General features: G+C 44.5%; 1 long non-coding RNA gene across 1 annotated transcript in view; it reads right to left on the bottom strand.

The window, feature by feature from the left end:
- LOC100128885 (uncharacterized) overlaps positions 1-15,715 on the bottom strand; it is a 43,895-nt gene that overhangs the window by 6,982 nt on the left and 21,198 nt on the right. Inside the window, exon 2 of the long non-coding RNA NR_077227.1 lies at positions 11,826-11,949. This is a non-coding gene — a long non-coding RNA (uncharacterized LOC100128885). The remainder of the gene's footprint in view (positions 1-11,825; positions 11,950-15,715) is intronic.

Genomic DNA, 15,715 nt, shown 5'->3' with positions numbered 1-15,715 from the left:
ATGTCACAATGTCTTCTGAAAGTAGGGCAAAGGCAACAGATTAATGTCACCTTAGTGTAGGGCAAAGTGAAATGTCACCATCTTCCATGCGGGTGGGCCTTAGAAAGATGGGAAGAGTCCCATCAGCTAGGTGCTATACCCAGCAATAGGCAAAAATATCCCATCTGAACAGAAACCAGACAGGAGTCACATTACCTGGGTGATGAGTGCAGAGATACATCACAACGCCCATGTAGGCAAGGCTGAGGCTGAAGAGTTATATTACATGGGTGTTACACTAAGCAGTATGTCACAATGGCCCATGTGGGCAGGGAAAAAATAGGAGAATCACATAAGCTGGGTTTTGAGCCCAGAGATACGCCAGTGTCCCCCGTAGGCAGTGCCAATAAAGAAATGGTGACTTACATCACTTGGATGCAAGGCCCAGTGATATTCCACCATCTCCCCTGTGGGCAGCACCAAGGCAGGAGTATGGAGTCACATGTGCTGGTTCAGTGATATGTCGCAATTGTGCCTATAGACTGGGCCCAGACAGGAGAGTCAAATCACTCAAGTACTGAGCAGAGACATATGCCAAAATCACACCTGCAGGATGGCTTAGAGGTTAGATTAACAATCTCACACATGTCCCAGTTCTAAATTTGAGTCAACACCTCCTGTATGTTGGGTCTAATTAAGAGACTCACAATCTCAATGGTGCACTCGATTTGTTTATGAGAGCCTGAAGTCTTCCTGCAGACTGTGTACCCTTACTGGAGTCACAGACTCACAGATGTGCTAAATATTGTGAAATGCATCCACATATAAGAGTCAAGTTTCCAGGCTGGGGGTGGTGCCTGATGTCTGTAATCCCAGCACTTTGGGAGGTCGAGGCAGGCCTGGATCACTTGAGGCCAGGAGTTTGAGAGCAGTCTGGGAAACATGGTGAAACCCTGTCTGTAGAAAATATACAAAAATTAGCTGGGTGTGGTGGCACATGCCTGTAATTCCAGCTACGCAGGAGGTTGAGGCACGAGAATTGCTTGAACCCAGAAAGTGGAGGTTGCAGGAGCTGAGATTGCACCACTGCAGTCTAGCCTGTGTGTTACAGTGAGTGAGACTCTAAAAAAAAAAAAAAAAATAAAGTCAATTTTCCAACTTTTGACTGTTTTCATGAGGGAGACTCAGGACCTCAACAGTGGGCTGTGTTCATGTGGAAAGATAACAATTTTTACTGTTGGCTGGGTGGGTGTATGAGTGTCACAATTTTGTCTGTGTTCTAGGCTCTCTCAGTACCACACGAGAGATTTCTACAGTATTAACGAGAGTTGCAAACCACTCTATGACCTTCATGATGAAGGTATAGACCCATGATTGTACCTGTGTCTCTAAGCCCAGGTATGAGAGTCAGCATCTCTATCACTGGCTGGTTCCACGTAAAAGAGGACAGGCATGGTGGCTCATGCCTGTAATCCCAGCACTTTGGGAGGCCGAGGCAGGTGGATCACTTTAGGTCGGGAGTTCGAGACCAGCCTGGCCAACATGGTGAAACCCCATCTCTACTAAAAATACAAAAATTAGCCCGGTGTGGTGGTGCACATCTGTAATCCCAGCTACCCAGGAGGCTGAGGCAGGAGAATCGATTAAAGCCAGGAGGTGGAGGTTGCAGTGAGCCATTATTAAACTACTGCACCCCAGCCTGGGTGACAGAGTGAGATACTGTCTCCAAAAAAATAAAAATAAATAAAATAAAAATGAAAAATAAGAGTCCTCACCTGCCTAGGAGCTAGATTAGAAATGAGTCACCATCCCAACTGCAGCCAGATGTTCACAAATAACAGTCACAATTTCAACTCCATCCACATGTGAGATTCAAGACCTTACCAGTAGGCTCTGTCCATGTGTGAGGGCAAAATCCTAATGGCTGATAGTGTGCATATGAAAAACACAATCTCACCTGGGTCCTGGGTCCTGTGATGAGACTGTCTGTACCACTTGAAAAATTTATATATGTGAGAGGCTGGTAATCAACTATGATATTCATACAGAGGAGATCCAGGACCTTACTCATTTTCCTAAGCCTAGCTTCAAAAAACAGTATCTCTCCTATTGGCTGGTTTGAGGCATGAGAGTTATCATCTCACCCACAAGCTGAACAAGGATATATTTTACAATCCCACCTGTCGATAGAGAGTGAGCAGGAGAGTGACATCACCTGGTCGCTAGGACAGGAATATGTCACAATCTTCCCTGATGGCAGGAACCAGGCAGAAGAGTAACATCACCTGGGTGATCAGCCAGGGATATGTTACAATCCTGTTCTGAAAGCAGGGCATGGGCAGCAGAGTCACAGCACCTGGGTGCTGAGCCCAGTGACATGTCACAATGCTCCCTGGGAGCAAGGCCCAGGAAAAGGAAGCACATCACCCTGTTGCTGAGTCAATGTTATTGTCACAATCTTCCCTGTGGGCCAGGTGCAGGCAGCAGCAGAGGAGTCACATCTCCTTGGTGAGGAATACAGAGATATGTCACAAGGCTCTTGAGCGTTGTAGGGCTAGAGCCCTGTTTGCAGGGCATAGGCAGGCACCTCCCAAATTCTACATGTTTGGCCCAGTGATATGTCACAGTACTCATATGTGGGGCCCATGAAAGAGGAGAGTCACATCACCTAGGTGCTAGGTCCAGTGATACATCACCATCCTACATTTTGGCAGAGACCAGGCAGAAGGAGAAGGCCACATCACCTAAATCATGAATGTAAAAATATATCATAATACCCTTGTGGGCAGGACCCATGCAGGAGAGTCACCTCACCTAGGTATTGGACCCAGCCATATGTCACAAAACAAATGCATGCAGTGTGACAGTAGGTAGCTAGTCCAGCATAGGCAGGGCAAGAAAGGGCACCCCACTCCACACACACCAGAAATGTCAGGCAGCAATCAGGTAATGGCCAGGCAGTGAACTATCTCTCTAAAGTAATAATTGGTGACAGCTGTTGCCAGGGACAGGCAGTCTCCTAATAAATACGAAACACCTAAAACTGGTCATCAGTAGCTTCCCAGTGAGATCTCAGGAGTTGGGTGGGTTAGGAGAAGTAATGCAAGACCCCAGAAGTATGCCAACACATAAAATCCCAAGAGGAGAAGAGAGTCACATCACGACAGTAATGGCAACAGAGATATGACACAATGACCCTGTAGGCAGGGCCCAGGCAGGAGAGTTACATCAACTGGGTGTTGGACCAAGTAAAATGTTACAATGGCTCACTTGGGCAGGGCACAGGCAGGAGAGTCACATAACCCGGGTGTGCTGCCCAGCGATGTGTCACAATGTTCCCTGTGGAAAGCACAAAGGCAGCAGAGGAGACTCACATCACTTGGGTGCAAGGCCCAGCGATCTGTCAAGATGCTCCTGTGGGAAGTACCAAGGAAAAAGAATAGAGTCACATCACCTAGGTTGGGGTCCAGCAATATGTCACAATTTCCACTTGTGGGCTGGGCGCAAGCAAGAGTCTAATCATTCAGGCGCTAAGAAGAGGCATATGTCATAATCACACCTGCAAAAACGTCTAGGGATGAGATTAACAATCTTGCACATGTCCTAGTTCTAAGTAAGAGAGTCAACATCCCCTGTATTTTTTTTCTGAGTACACAGTGACGATATTAACTGTGGATAGATTTGTGCCTGAGAGCCTCAATTCCCCATGGACTGTGTACCTGTAGCAGAGTCACAGCCTCACAAATGTGCTAAATCTTGGTCCTGAGTCACCCATCATTCTGTGAATGGAATTTATGTAGGGGAGTCAATTTTCCAACTTTCCACCACCTTCAGATGTGATATTCAGAACCTGAGCACATTCAGAACCTGAGCACCTATAAACACAGTTCATAAAAGATGACAATCTTTACAATTGGCTGGGTATGTATACAAGTAACACAATCTGACCTGTGTGCTGGGCCCTGTTAAAAACACACTCAGTACCACCCAAGGGCTTTAGAATGTGGCAATTTGTTGGCCAGGCGTGGTGACTCACACCTGTAATCCCAGCACTTTGGGAGGCCGAGGTGGGTAGATCACGAGGTCAAGAGTTCAAGACCAGCCTGGCCAAGATGGTGAAACCCCATCTCTACTAAACCCCATCTCTACTAAAAATACAAAAATTAGCCAGGTGTGGTGGCGCACGCCTGTAGTCCCAGCTACTCAGGAGGCTGAGGCAGAAGAATTGCTTGAACCCGGAAGGCGGTGGTTTCAGTGAGCCGAGATTACGCCACTACACTCCAGCCTGGGTAACAGAGACTCTGTCTCAAGAAAATAATAATAAAAAAACAAAAAAATAAATTTGGTATGAGACCTTCATGCTGGTATGGACCCATGATTGTACCTGTGGACCTAAGAGCAAGTACAAGAGTTAACATCCCTTCAATTGGCTGGGTCCAGATATAAGAGTTCTCACCTACCTATGAGCTGGGTTTATAAATGAGTCACCGTCTCAACTGTAGCAGGATGTTGATATTTGACAATCACAATTTCAACTGTAGACCTCATACATGTGTGTAGTTTAGAACCTCACCAGTGGGCTCTTTCAATGTGTGAGGGTGACAATCCTAACAGTTGGCAGGGTATGCATAGAAAAAACACAATCTCACCTGTGTGCCGGGCCCTGTAATTACACTGTCTGTAACATTTGAGGGCTTTATAAGGTATGTGAGTGAGTGGTAATTCTTTATGACCTTCATACAAAGAGGAGACCCAGAATCTTACCTAGTACCCTAAGCCTAGCTACAAGAGACAGTATCTCTCCTATTTGCTGACTCAAGTTACAATAGTTACTATTGCACCTTGATCTGGATCATATATTTTATATATATCACAATATTTCCTGAGGGCAATATATATATATATCACAATATTTCCTGAGGGCAGGCACCAGGCAAGAGAGTCACATCACCTAGATGCTCAGCCAGATATGCTACAATCCCTTCCTGAAAGCAGGGTACAGGCAGCAGAGTCAAATCATAGAAGTGCTAGGCTCAGCAATATGTCTCAATACCTTCTGTGGGCAGTGCCAAAGCAGGAGGATAGTCATATTACCAAGGTGCTGGGTCCAGTGATATGTCACAATCTCATTTGTAAGCTGGACTCAGGCAGGAGAGTCAAATCACTCAGGTGCTGAGGAGAGGTGTATGTCAAAATCACACCTGCAGGAGGTCCAGGGATGAGACTACCAATCTCACACCTTTCCTGGCTCTTGTTATGAGAGTCACTGCTCACTGTAGGTTGGGTATAAGTGAAGTAAGAAATTAAGAAAATAACAAAATAATAGCATAAGTAATAATAGTAAAGATTATAGTAATAGTAAGACAAATAATAATAGCTCATAGAATGAATTGCTGTATTAACCATGGCTGAAAAAAATTTAAGTAGCGCCCCACGAAGTTAAAGTTAAAAAAAAAATTAACTGCCTGTCCCAAGAAACATTAACCATATCCACTCTCCACATATTTTGTAGGCTCTATAAGCTCCTGTTCCTTTCTTCCCTGCACAGCTGCAAGGTCACAAAACAAATAAGCATAAGCTACAAACCAAGTATTCCCAAAGATGTAAGACATGTTGCAAAAATATCACAGCAGCCTTTGTTCTTGCTTCTGTAAGCCTGCTTCCTGCTTCACATAGTGCCCGCCTCAAAATACTTAAAAGGAACTCGTTTTCTTTGTTCGGGGCTCAGACTTTCAGGACACATGTCCACTGAGCCAGTGTACACCTTAAATAAACACTTCCTGCCCTCCATTTGGTCTCTCCGGTTCCTTAATTTCCCGCAACGTAAGTACACAAGTCACAATCTCATTGGTGGACTAGACATGTGTTTGGGAGCCTAAACTTCTCCTGCAGACTTTGTCTCCTCCGTGGATTCACAACATCATGGGTGTGCTAAATCTTGGTCTGAAAGTCAGCAACCCACCTGTGGATGGAGTCCACGTATGACAGTCATCCATGTATACAGTCAGTTATCCAACTTTCGACTGACTTTGAGTGTGAGATTCAGAAACGCAACAGTGGACTGTTAATGTAGAATGATGACAATCTTTGCTGTCTGTTGGGTGTACATCTAAATGTCACAATGTCACCTGTATGCTGAGCTCAGCACTCAGCACTATTCAAGTGTTTTATACAGTATGCATAAGAGTCGCAGTCTTCTTTGCAACCTTTGTGATGATATAGACAAATAATCATACCAATGGTTCTAAGCCTAGATATGCGAATCAATATGTCTCCAACTGGATGGATCTAGATTGGAGAGTCCTCACCTGCCTATGAGCTGGGTTTAGAAATGAGTCACCATCCCGGGCCGGGCGTGGTGGCTCGCGCCTGTAATCCCAGCACTTTGGGAGGCCGAGATGGGCGGATCACAAGGTCAGGAGATGAAGACCATCTTGGCCAACATGGTGAAACCCCGTCTCTACTAAAATACAAAAAATTAGCTGGGGGTGGTGGCATGTGCCTGTAATCCCAGATACTGTCCACAGAGAGCCAACAGAAGAGTCACATCACTTCAGTGATAGGCCAGAGTTATGTCACAATCTTTCCAGAGGGCAGGGGTGAGGCAGGAGGGGTCACATTACCTGGGTGCTCAACCAGAGATATGTTACAATTTCTTCCTGAAAGCAAGTCACATGAAGCAGAGTCCCATCACCAGTGTGATTGGCTCAGGAGTATGTCACAATGCTCTCTGTTGGCAAGTCACAAGCAGGAGAGACACATACCTGGTTGCTGAGCCCAGCGATATGTGACAATCTTCCCTTTGGGCAGAGTGAAGGTAGAAAAGAAGAGTCACATCTCCCAGATGATTGATGCAAAATTATGTCACAGGGCAACTGTGAGCCAGGCCCAGGCAAGAGCCTCCAACTGCCAAGGTGTTAAGCTCAGCAGTATGTCACACTACCAAAAATTCTAAGTCCCAATCGTAAGAGGAGAGTCACATCACCTGGGTGCTGGGTGAAATGTCACAATCCCCTTTTTGGCAGGACAAAGGCAAACAAAAAGAGTCACATCATGTAGGTGATGAATAGAAAGATATATTATAACCCTGATGGCAGGGGCTGTGCTGGAGGGCAAAATCACCTAGGTGCTGGACCCAGAAATATGTCCCAGTACACAATATATGCACGGCCCAGGCAGAATAGGAGAGTCACATTACCTAGGTGCTAGATACAGGTATATATCATAATGTACCCTGAGTGAAGGCCCAGAAAAGAGTCACATCACCTAGGTGATGGGCCCAGAGATATGTCACAATGCCCATTGTGGATAGGGCTCAGAAAAAAAGAGGAGAGTCACATAACCTAAGGGCTGAGCCCAGCTGTATTTCACAATCACCTCAGTGGGCAAGGCCCAAGGAAAAAAAAATTGTATCATTTAGGCGATGGCCTCAAAAATATGTCACGATGACTTCTTTGGAAAGAAATCAGAATAATTACATTTGTGTGCTGGTTCAGGCGATAAGTCACTCTCCATCTCTGGTCATGGCTCACACAGCAGAAGAGAGTCAAATCACCTAGGTGCTGGGCCCAAAGATATGTCAAAATCTCTTTTATTAAAAAAACTCAGATAAGAGTAGAGTCACATCAAATAGTTGATGGGCCCAGAGATATGTCACAATGTCTTCTGTGGGTAGGTTTTAGTCAGAAGACTTAACATCACCTTGGTTCTGGGCCCAGCAGTATGTTATAATGTCTTCTGAGAGCAAGGCCAAGTCAAAAAAGTAATGCCACCTTGAAGTTGGGCCCAGCATTATGTTACAATCTTTTCTACAGGCAGAACCTAAGAAGAAGAGAAAACTTACATTAGCTAGGTGCTGGGCTTAGCGATACATCAAAATCCCCCCTGTGAGCAGAGACCTGGCAAGAAGAGAGTCAAATCACCAGAATTATGAGTGCAGAGATATTTCACAATGCCCCCCTGGACTCAAGGCAGGACTCAAGCAGGAGAGTTACATCACCTGGGTGTTGGACCCAGCAATATGTCACAATAATCCATGTAGGCAGGGCACAGACAGGAGAGTCACGGAACCTGGGTGCAGAGATTAGTGATATGTTACAATGTGTTTTGGGGGCAGCCCCAAGGCAGGGGAATAGGTTTACATCACCTGGGTGCAATTCCCAGCAACATGGCACAATGCCCCTTGCCACACAGTACCAAGGCAGACAAATGGAGTCACATTACTTAAATGCTAGGTCCAGTGATGTCACAGTCCCATCTGTTGTCTGGTCCCAGGCAGAAGAGTCAAATCAGGTGATGGGCAGAGGTATATGTCACAGTCTCATCTGCACAAAGGTCCACAGATGAGATTAACACTCCCAGACACATCCCAGTTTTCAATATAAGAGTAAACACCACCTGCATATTGAGACTAAGTACAGGAGTCACAGTTTCAGTAGTGGACTGGATCTGTGAATTAGTGCCTTAATTTTTTTGTGCAGACTGTTTTAGTGGAGTCACAGGCTCACAGGTATGCTGAGTGTTGGACTCAGGGACACCAATCCACCTATGGATGAAATCCATGTACAAGAGTCAATTTTCCAACTTCTGACTCTTTCTGGGTGTCAGATTCCAAACCTCAATAGGGGGCTGCATTCATGTGTGAGGATAACAATCTTTACTGTTGGCTGGGTGTGCATACAAGTGTCACAATGTTGCCTGTGTGTGGGGCCCTGTTAAGACACTCTCTGTATTATCTGAGGGCTTTATATGGTATGCATGAGAGTTGGAAATCCACCGAGACCTTCTTGCTGGTATGGACCCATTTTTGAACCTGTGGCACTAAGCCCAAGTATGAGAGTCAACATCTCTCCAATTGGCTGGGTCTAGATATGAGAGTCCTTGCCTGCCTATGATCTAGAAATGAGTCACCATCCCAACTTTAGCCAGATGATTACTTATGACAGTCACTATTCCAACTATGGACTGTGCCCACGTGTGAGATTAAGGACCTCACCAGTGGTTTCTTTCCATGTTTAAAGGGTGACAATCCTAACACTTGGTGGAGTGTGCATACTAAAACCACAGTCTCATATTTTTGCTGGGCTCTGTGATAACATTCTGTGCACCAAATGAAGGTTGTATACAATATGCAGAAGAGTGGTAATCCTCTATGACCTTAGTATAAAGAGAAGACCCAGAATTTTACCCATTTCCTTAAGGTTACCTAACATAAATGGTATCACTCTTATTGGCTGGCTCAAGGTATGAGAGTCCTCATTGCATATGTGAGCGGGGCTAAGATGTATTTCACAATCCCATCTGTGAGCATGGAGCAAGGAGAGACACATCGACTGCCTCTCTGCCAGGGATATGTCACAATCTTCCCTGAAAGCATGAACCCAGCTGGAGAGTCCCATCACCCAGGTGCTTGGCCAAAGATATGTTACGACCCCCTTCTGAGAGCAGGGAACTGGCAGCAGAAGAGTCAAACCCCTGGATACTGGGCCCAGCAATATATTCCAATGCTCCCTGTGGGCAAGGCCAAATGAGAAGAGACACATCACCTGGTTGCTGGGCCCTGCGATATATTGCAATCTTCCATTTGGGCAGCATGCATGAAAAAGAGGGAAATCACATCCCCAAGGTGATGGATGCAGACATATGTCACAAGGGCTACTGTAGACAGGGCCCAGGAAAAGTCTCTCATCCCTTGGGTGTTCAGCTCAGCAATATGTCACAATACCCAAAATATGCAGGCTCCAGGCAAAAAAAAAAAAAAAAAAAAAAGCACCAAGGTGCTGGATCCAGTGCTATGTCACAATTCTCTTTTTGGTTAGGGTCCAGGCAAATAAAGAGAGTCACTTTGCCTAGGTGATAAATAAAAGGATATGTCATAACACCCCTTTGGGCAGGGCCCATATAGAAGAATCTTATTACCTAGCTGCTAGACTCAGCAATACATCACAATTTCACTCTGAGCAGAGCACTAGCAATAGAGGAGAGACACATCACCTAGGTGCTGGGTCCAGAGATATTTCACTGTCTTTCTTTTGAGCAAAGCCCAGGTGAGAGAGGAGAGTTCTCATCAAACAGTTGATGAATGCAGAGATATGTCACAAACCCCTAAGAATAAAGCCCAGGCAGAAGAGTCACATCAGCTGGGTGCTGGGTTCAGCAATATGTCACAACCAGGCAGGAAAGTCACAATTACTTGGATGCTAGGTCCAGCAATATGTCACAATGTCCCTTGTGGACTAGGCCCAGGCAGGAGAAGAGTCACATCACCTAGGTACTGGACCAGGCAATTATGTCACAATCCTCCCAGAAAGCAGGGCAAAACAGGACAGTCAAATCACTTAGTTGCTGGGTCCAGTAATATATTGTAATATCTCCTGAGGGCAAGGCCCAGGCAGAAGAGGAGTTACATCATGTAGGTACTGGGTCCAGCCATATGTCACATCTCTTCTGTGGGCAGAATATAGGAAAAATGGAAGTGTCACATCAGCTGGGTGCTGGGCCAATGATATTTCCAAATAGCTTCTGTGACCAAAAACAAGCAGTAAAAGAGAATCACATCACCTGAGTAATAGGCATAGAGATATGTCACAATGCCCCCTGTAGGCAGGTCTCAAAGAAGAGAGTTACATCCCCTTGGTGATAGACTTATCAATATGTCACAATGCCTCTGTAAGCAGGGTCCTTGCAGGAAAGTTGCATTACCTAAATGTTGAACCCAGCGATACATCCCAGGCAAGAGGGGGAAGAGTTAAATCCCTTTGGTCAGCCAAGCACGGTGGCTCACGTCTGTAATCCCAGCACTTTGGGAGGCCAAGGCAGGCAGATCACCTGAGGTCAGGAGTTTGAGACCAGCCTGGCCAACATGGTGAAACCCCATCTCTATTAAATACAAAAATTAGCCAGGCTGTGGCGGTGGGTGCCTGTAATCCCAGCTACTCAGGAGGCTGAGGCATGAGAAATGCTTGAGCCCGGGAGGTGGAGATTGCAGTGAGCTACGATCCCACCACGGCACTCCAGCCTGGGTGACAGAGGGAGACCCTGTCTCAAACAAACAAACAAAAAAGTTGGCAATCATCAGTGATAATGTATTGTGAGACCTTTGTATCTTGTAAATTCTTTTTGAAAAAATAAATAAAAATTAGGCCCTAAATCTCAACAAACCACAAAAAAAGGAAAAGTCACATTAACCTGATTGTCAGCTCAGCATTATGTCACAATGTGCTTAGAAAATAAGACCCAGGCAGAAGAGAAGAGTCACATCACGTAGGGGGCTGGGATCAGCAATCTTTCACAATCATCCCTGTGGGCAGGGCCTATGCAGGAGAGTTGTATTACCTGCGTGCTGGGCCCAGTGATAGATCACAATTCCTTCTGTGGAAAGAAGCCAAGCGGTAGAGGAGAGTGACATCACACAGGTTTTGGGTCAAGCAAATTGTCACAATACTCCCTAAGGGGGTCCCAGGTAGGAAGGTCACATCATCCAGGTGAGAAAAGCAGAGATATGTCACAATGCCTTCTGTTTATAGGGCTCAAATCAAAGCAGAGAGTCACATAACTTAGAAGATGAGTTCAGCTATATGTTAAAATTGCTTTATTGGGCAGGGTCCAGGCATGAGAAAAGGGTCACACCATTTAGGTGCTTGATCAGGCAGTATGTCACAATCCCCATCATGGACAGGGCCTAGGCAGAGGAGAGTCACATCAACTAGGTGACGGGCCCAGAAACATGTCACAATGACTCCTGTGGGCAGAGCCCAGGTCAGAGAAGAGAGTCATATCAAATAGTTGATGGGTGCAGAGATATGTTACAATGCCCTTTGTGGGAAGGGTCCAGAGAGGATACTTACATTTCTTTGAAGCTGGGACCACCAACATATCACAATGCCTTCTGAGGGCAGTGAGAAGGCAAAAAGTAACATCACCGTGGTGTTGCAACCAGCAATATGTCACAATCTTCTTTGCAGGCAGAACCTAGGAAGAAAAAGGTCACATCAGCTAGGTGCTGAGCTCAGTGATATGTCACAATCACCTTTTGGGACATGGAATTGTCAGAAGAGTCAAATCACCTTGGTGATGTTTGCAGAGGTGTGTCACAATGCCCTCTGCAGGCTGGGCCAAGGCAGAAGAGTTACATCACCTGGGTTTCGGAGTCAGCAATATGTCACAATGGCCACTATGAGCAGGGCCCAGGAATGGAGAGTTACATAATGTGAGTTATGGGTGTAGAGCCCAGTGATATGTCACAATGCCCCCTATAAGCAGTGCCAAGGCAGAAGAGACTGACATCACCTGACTTTAAGGATAAGCAATATATCATATGCCCCCTTTAGACAGTGCCAAGGAAGGAGAATAGAGTCACAATACCTAGTTGTGGGGTCTAGTGACATATCACAATCCCATAGGTGGGCTGGTCTGAGGCAGAAAAGTCAAATAAGTCAAAGGCTGGGCAGAGGTTTATTTCTCAGTCACACCTGCAGGGAAGTCCAGGGATAAAATGAACAATCCTGTACATTTCCCAGTTATAGGTATGAGGCAACACTTCCTATATGTTGGGTCTCAGTATATGACTCACAATTTCAACAGTGGACTGGATCCACGCATGACAGCCTCAGTCCCTCCTGCAGACTGTGTACCCTTAGTGAAGTCACAGCCTCACAGCTGTGCTGAATCTTGGTCTGAGAGTCACCAACCCACCTGTGGACAGGATTCACCTATGAGAGGCAATTTTCCAACTTTTGTCAGCTTCCTAATGTGAGATTCAGAGCCTCAGTGGTGGGTTGTGTTACTGTTAAAGAATGACAATCTTTACTGTCATCTGGGTGTGCAACAGTCACAATATCACCTCTGTGCCATATTTCATTAGGTGTCAACATTTAGCATGAAAATTATAAAACTATAAACCCAGCTCAAGGCAGAATAATCTTTTTGTGATTTTTAATAAATGAGACATTTAATACGGTGTATTTAAAAAGCTACACATTCTGAGTTATCAACAAAATGTCCGTGTATTTAACTTAAAGGTTTTTACATAAACACCTAATGTTCTCAAGCTTTAAAATGGTTAACAAATAACTTTAAATAATAACTACCTTTGTGTAATATCTCAGTTTTCAGAAGTAGTCTAAATAAATGGCTAAAAATGAAAAAATTGGGTACATAGATAAGATAAAAAATAGTATTTTGAAAATCTGTTTCAAAATTGTGGAATGGTCCTCATCTATGAAATGCTCATATCTGATGGGCAGTTCACAAATTTTTGCTTCATAGGTTTATATTAAATGTGCCAAAAAGATAGGTTCTCATTGAAAAATGAATAATTTTGTCTAATTCAAGAGTTATCTAAAAGTTAACTCAAATTATGAATTTAAAAAGATTATTGTATTCATGCAACTCTCTGTATTGCCTGAAAAATCCTTGTGCTGTTAAGTTCCAGGGATTCAACTCTTGGGTCTAAAAAGTGCACATAATTGTTTTCACATATATATATAAACCCATATGTATACATACATATATAAATATACACACACACATATACACATACATATACACATACACACACATATATACATGCATATATACACACATACACATATATACATACATTGTGTATATATATTCATATATACACATTCATACATATATACACATATACATATTTATACATATGTACGTATGTGTGTGTATATATACGTATATATATTATTTGAGACAGTCTCGCTCTGTCACCCAGGCGTCCAGTGGCGTGATCTCAGCTCACTGCAACTTCTGCCTCCCTAGTAGCTGGGATTACAGGCATGCGCCACCATGCCCAGCTAATTTTTGCATTTTTAGTAGAGACGGGGTTTCGCCATGTTTGCCCAGGCTGGTCTCAAACTCCTGACATCAGGTGATCCACCCTCCTCGGCCTCCCAAAGTGCTGGGATTACAGGCATGAGCCACAGACCCCAGCCTAATTTTGTATTTTTAGTAGAAATGGGGTTTCACCATGTTGGCCAGGCTGGTCTTGAACTCCTGACCTCAAGTGATCCACCCACCTCAGCCTCTCAAAGTGCTGGAATTACAGGCATGAGCCACCACACCTGGCCAGTTCTATTTCTTTAAGCCTATACATTTGCACTTGTTGAAAGTATTTGAACTGGGCCAGGCGCGGTGGCTCACGCCTGTAATCCCAGCACTTTGGGAGGCCGAGGCGGGCGGATCATGAGGTCAGGAGATCGAGACCATCCTGGCTAACACGGTGAAACCCGGTCCCTACTAAAAATACAAAAAATTAGCCGGGCGTGGTGCGGGCGCCTGTAGTCCCAGCTACTCGGGAGGCTGAGGCAGGAGAATGGCGTGAACCCGGGAGGCGGAGCTTGCAGTGAGCGGAGATCGCGCCACTGCACTCCAGCCTGGGCGACAGAGCCAGACTCCGTCTCAAAAAAAAAAAAAAAAAAAAAGAAAAAGAAAGTATTTGAACATACAATTATCCAGCTTCATGCTTTCACTGAGTCTTCATAATGTGGCATTTTAATGATGTGAGCAAGCCAGGAGCTTTGAGCTTTCTGTGCCACGTAAGGATGCTAAGCCCAGAGACAAAGAGGCCAAGGCTAGGGTTTGGGAACAGGCAGAACCTGGGTTCACCCCGGTCATGGAGGTTTGCTTGAAGCAGAAATAGTCAGGATTCAGTCAGAATGGTGACTATTAAAAAGTCAAGAAATAAAAGATGCTGGCAAGGCTGTGGAGAAATAGGAATGCTTTTACACTGTTGGTGGGAGTGTAAATTAGTTCAACCATTGTGGAAGACAGTGTGGTAATTCCTCAAGGATCTAGAACCAGAAATACCATTTGACCCAGCAATCCCATTACTGGATATATACTCAAAGGAATATAAATGATTCTAATATAAAGACACATGCACATGTATGTTTATTGCAGCACTTTACAATAGCAAAGACATGGAACCAACCCAATGCCCATCAATGATAGACTGGATAAAGAAAATGTGATACATATACACCATGGAATACTATGTAGCCATAAAAATGAGATCATGTTTTTTGCACGGACATGGATGAAGCTGGAAGCCATCATCCTCAGCAAACAAAACACCGCATGTTCTCACTCATAAGTGGGAGTTGAACAGTGAGAACACATGGACACAGGGAGGAGAACAACACACACCAGGGCCTGTCGGGGGAGTCGGGGGCAATGGGAGGAAGAGCATTAGGACAAATACCTAATGCATGTGGGGCTTAAAACCTAGATGACGGGTTGATCAGTGCACCAAAGCACCATGGCACATGTATACCTATGTAACAAACCTGCACGTTCTGCACGTGTATCCAGGAACTTAAAGTAAAATAAGATTTAAAACAAAAAGAAAATGCACTAAGGCCACGAGAAACATTTATTGCAAGGTCAAGGCTGACCACTCTAATTCTGGTGAACACAGAACTAAAGATAAAGTAGCTTCAGCTTAAAAGCTCTCCCTCAAATTTGAAAGTGCTAGAAATTTTTCTTCACAGCTTTCATCAGTATAGGGTATCTGTTTTTTTGAAAATGTGACATAGGAATAACATATCATATTTATGTGGGATTCTTTGGCTGGAAAAGTGAATTATGGGGTAAAAAAGAAAAGCCAAGAGTTGTTACTTAAAGATAGACTATGATATTAAAAGCACATTTCAGTTTATTTTGGAAGCTTTACTCTATGGATTTAGATACAGTATAAAAATGTAGATAGGTTAAAAATACA

Source organism: Homo sapiens, chromosome 7 (genome assembly GCF_000001405.40).
Source record: "Homo sapiens chromosome 7, GRCh38.p14 Primary Assembly".
Lineage (NCBI taxonomy): Eukaryota > Metazoa > Chordata > Mammalia > Primates > Hominidae > Homo > Homo sapiens.
This window is presented reverse-complemented; position numbering and strand designations above follow the sequence as displayed.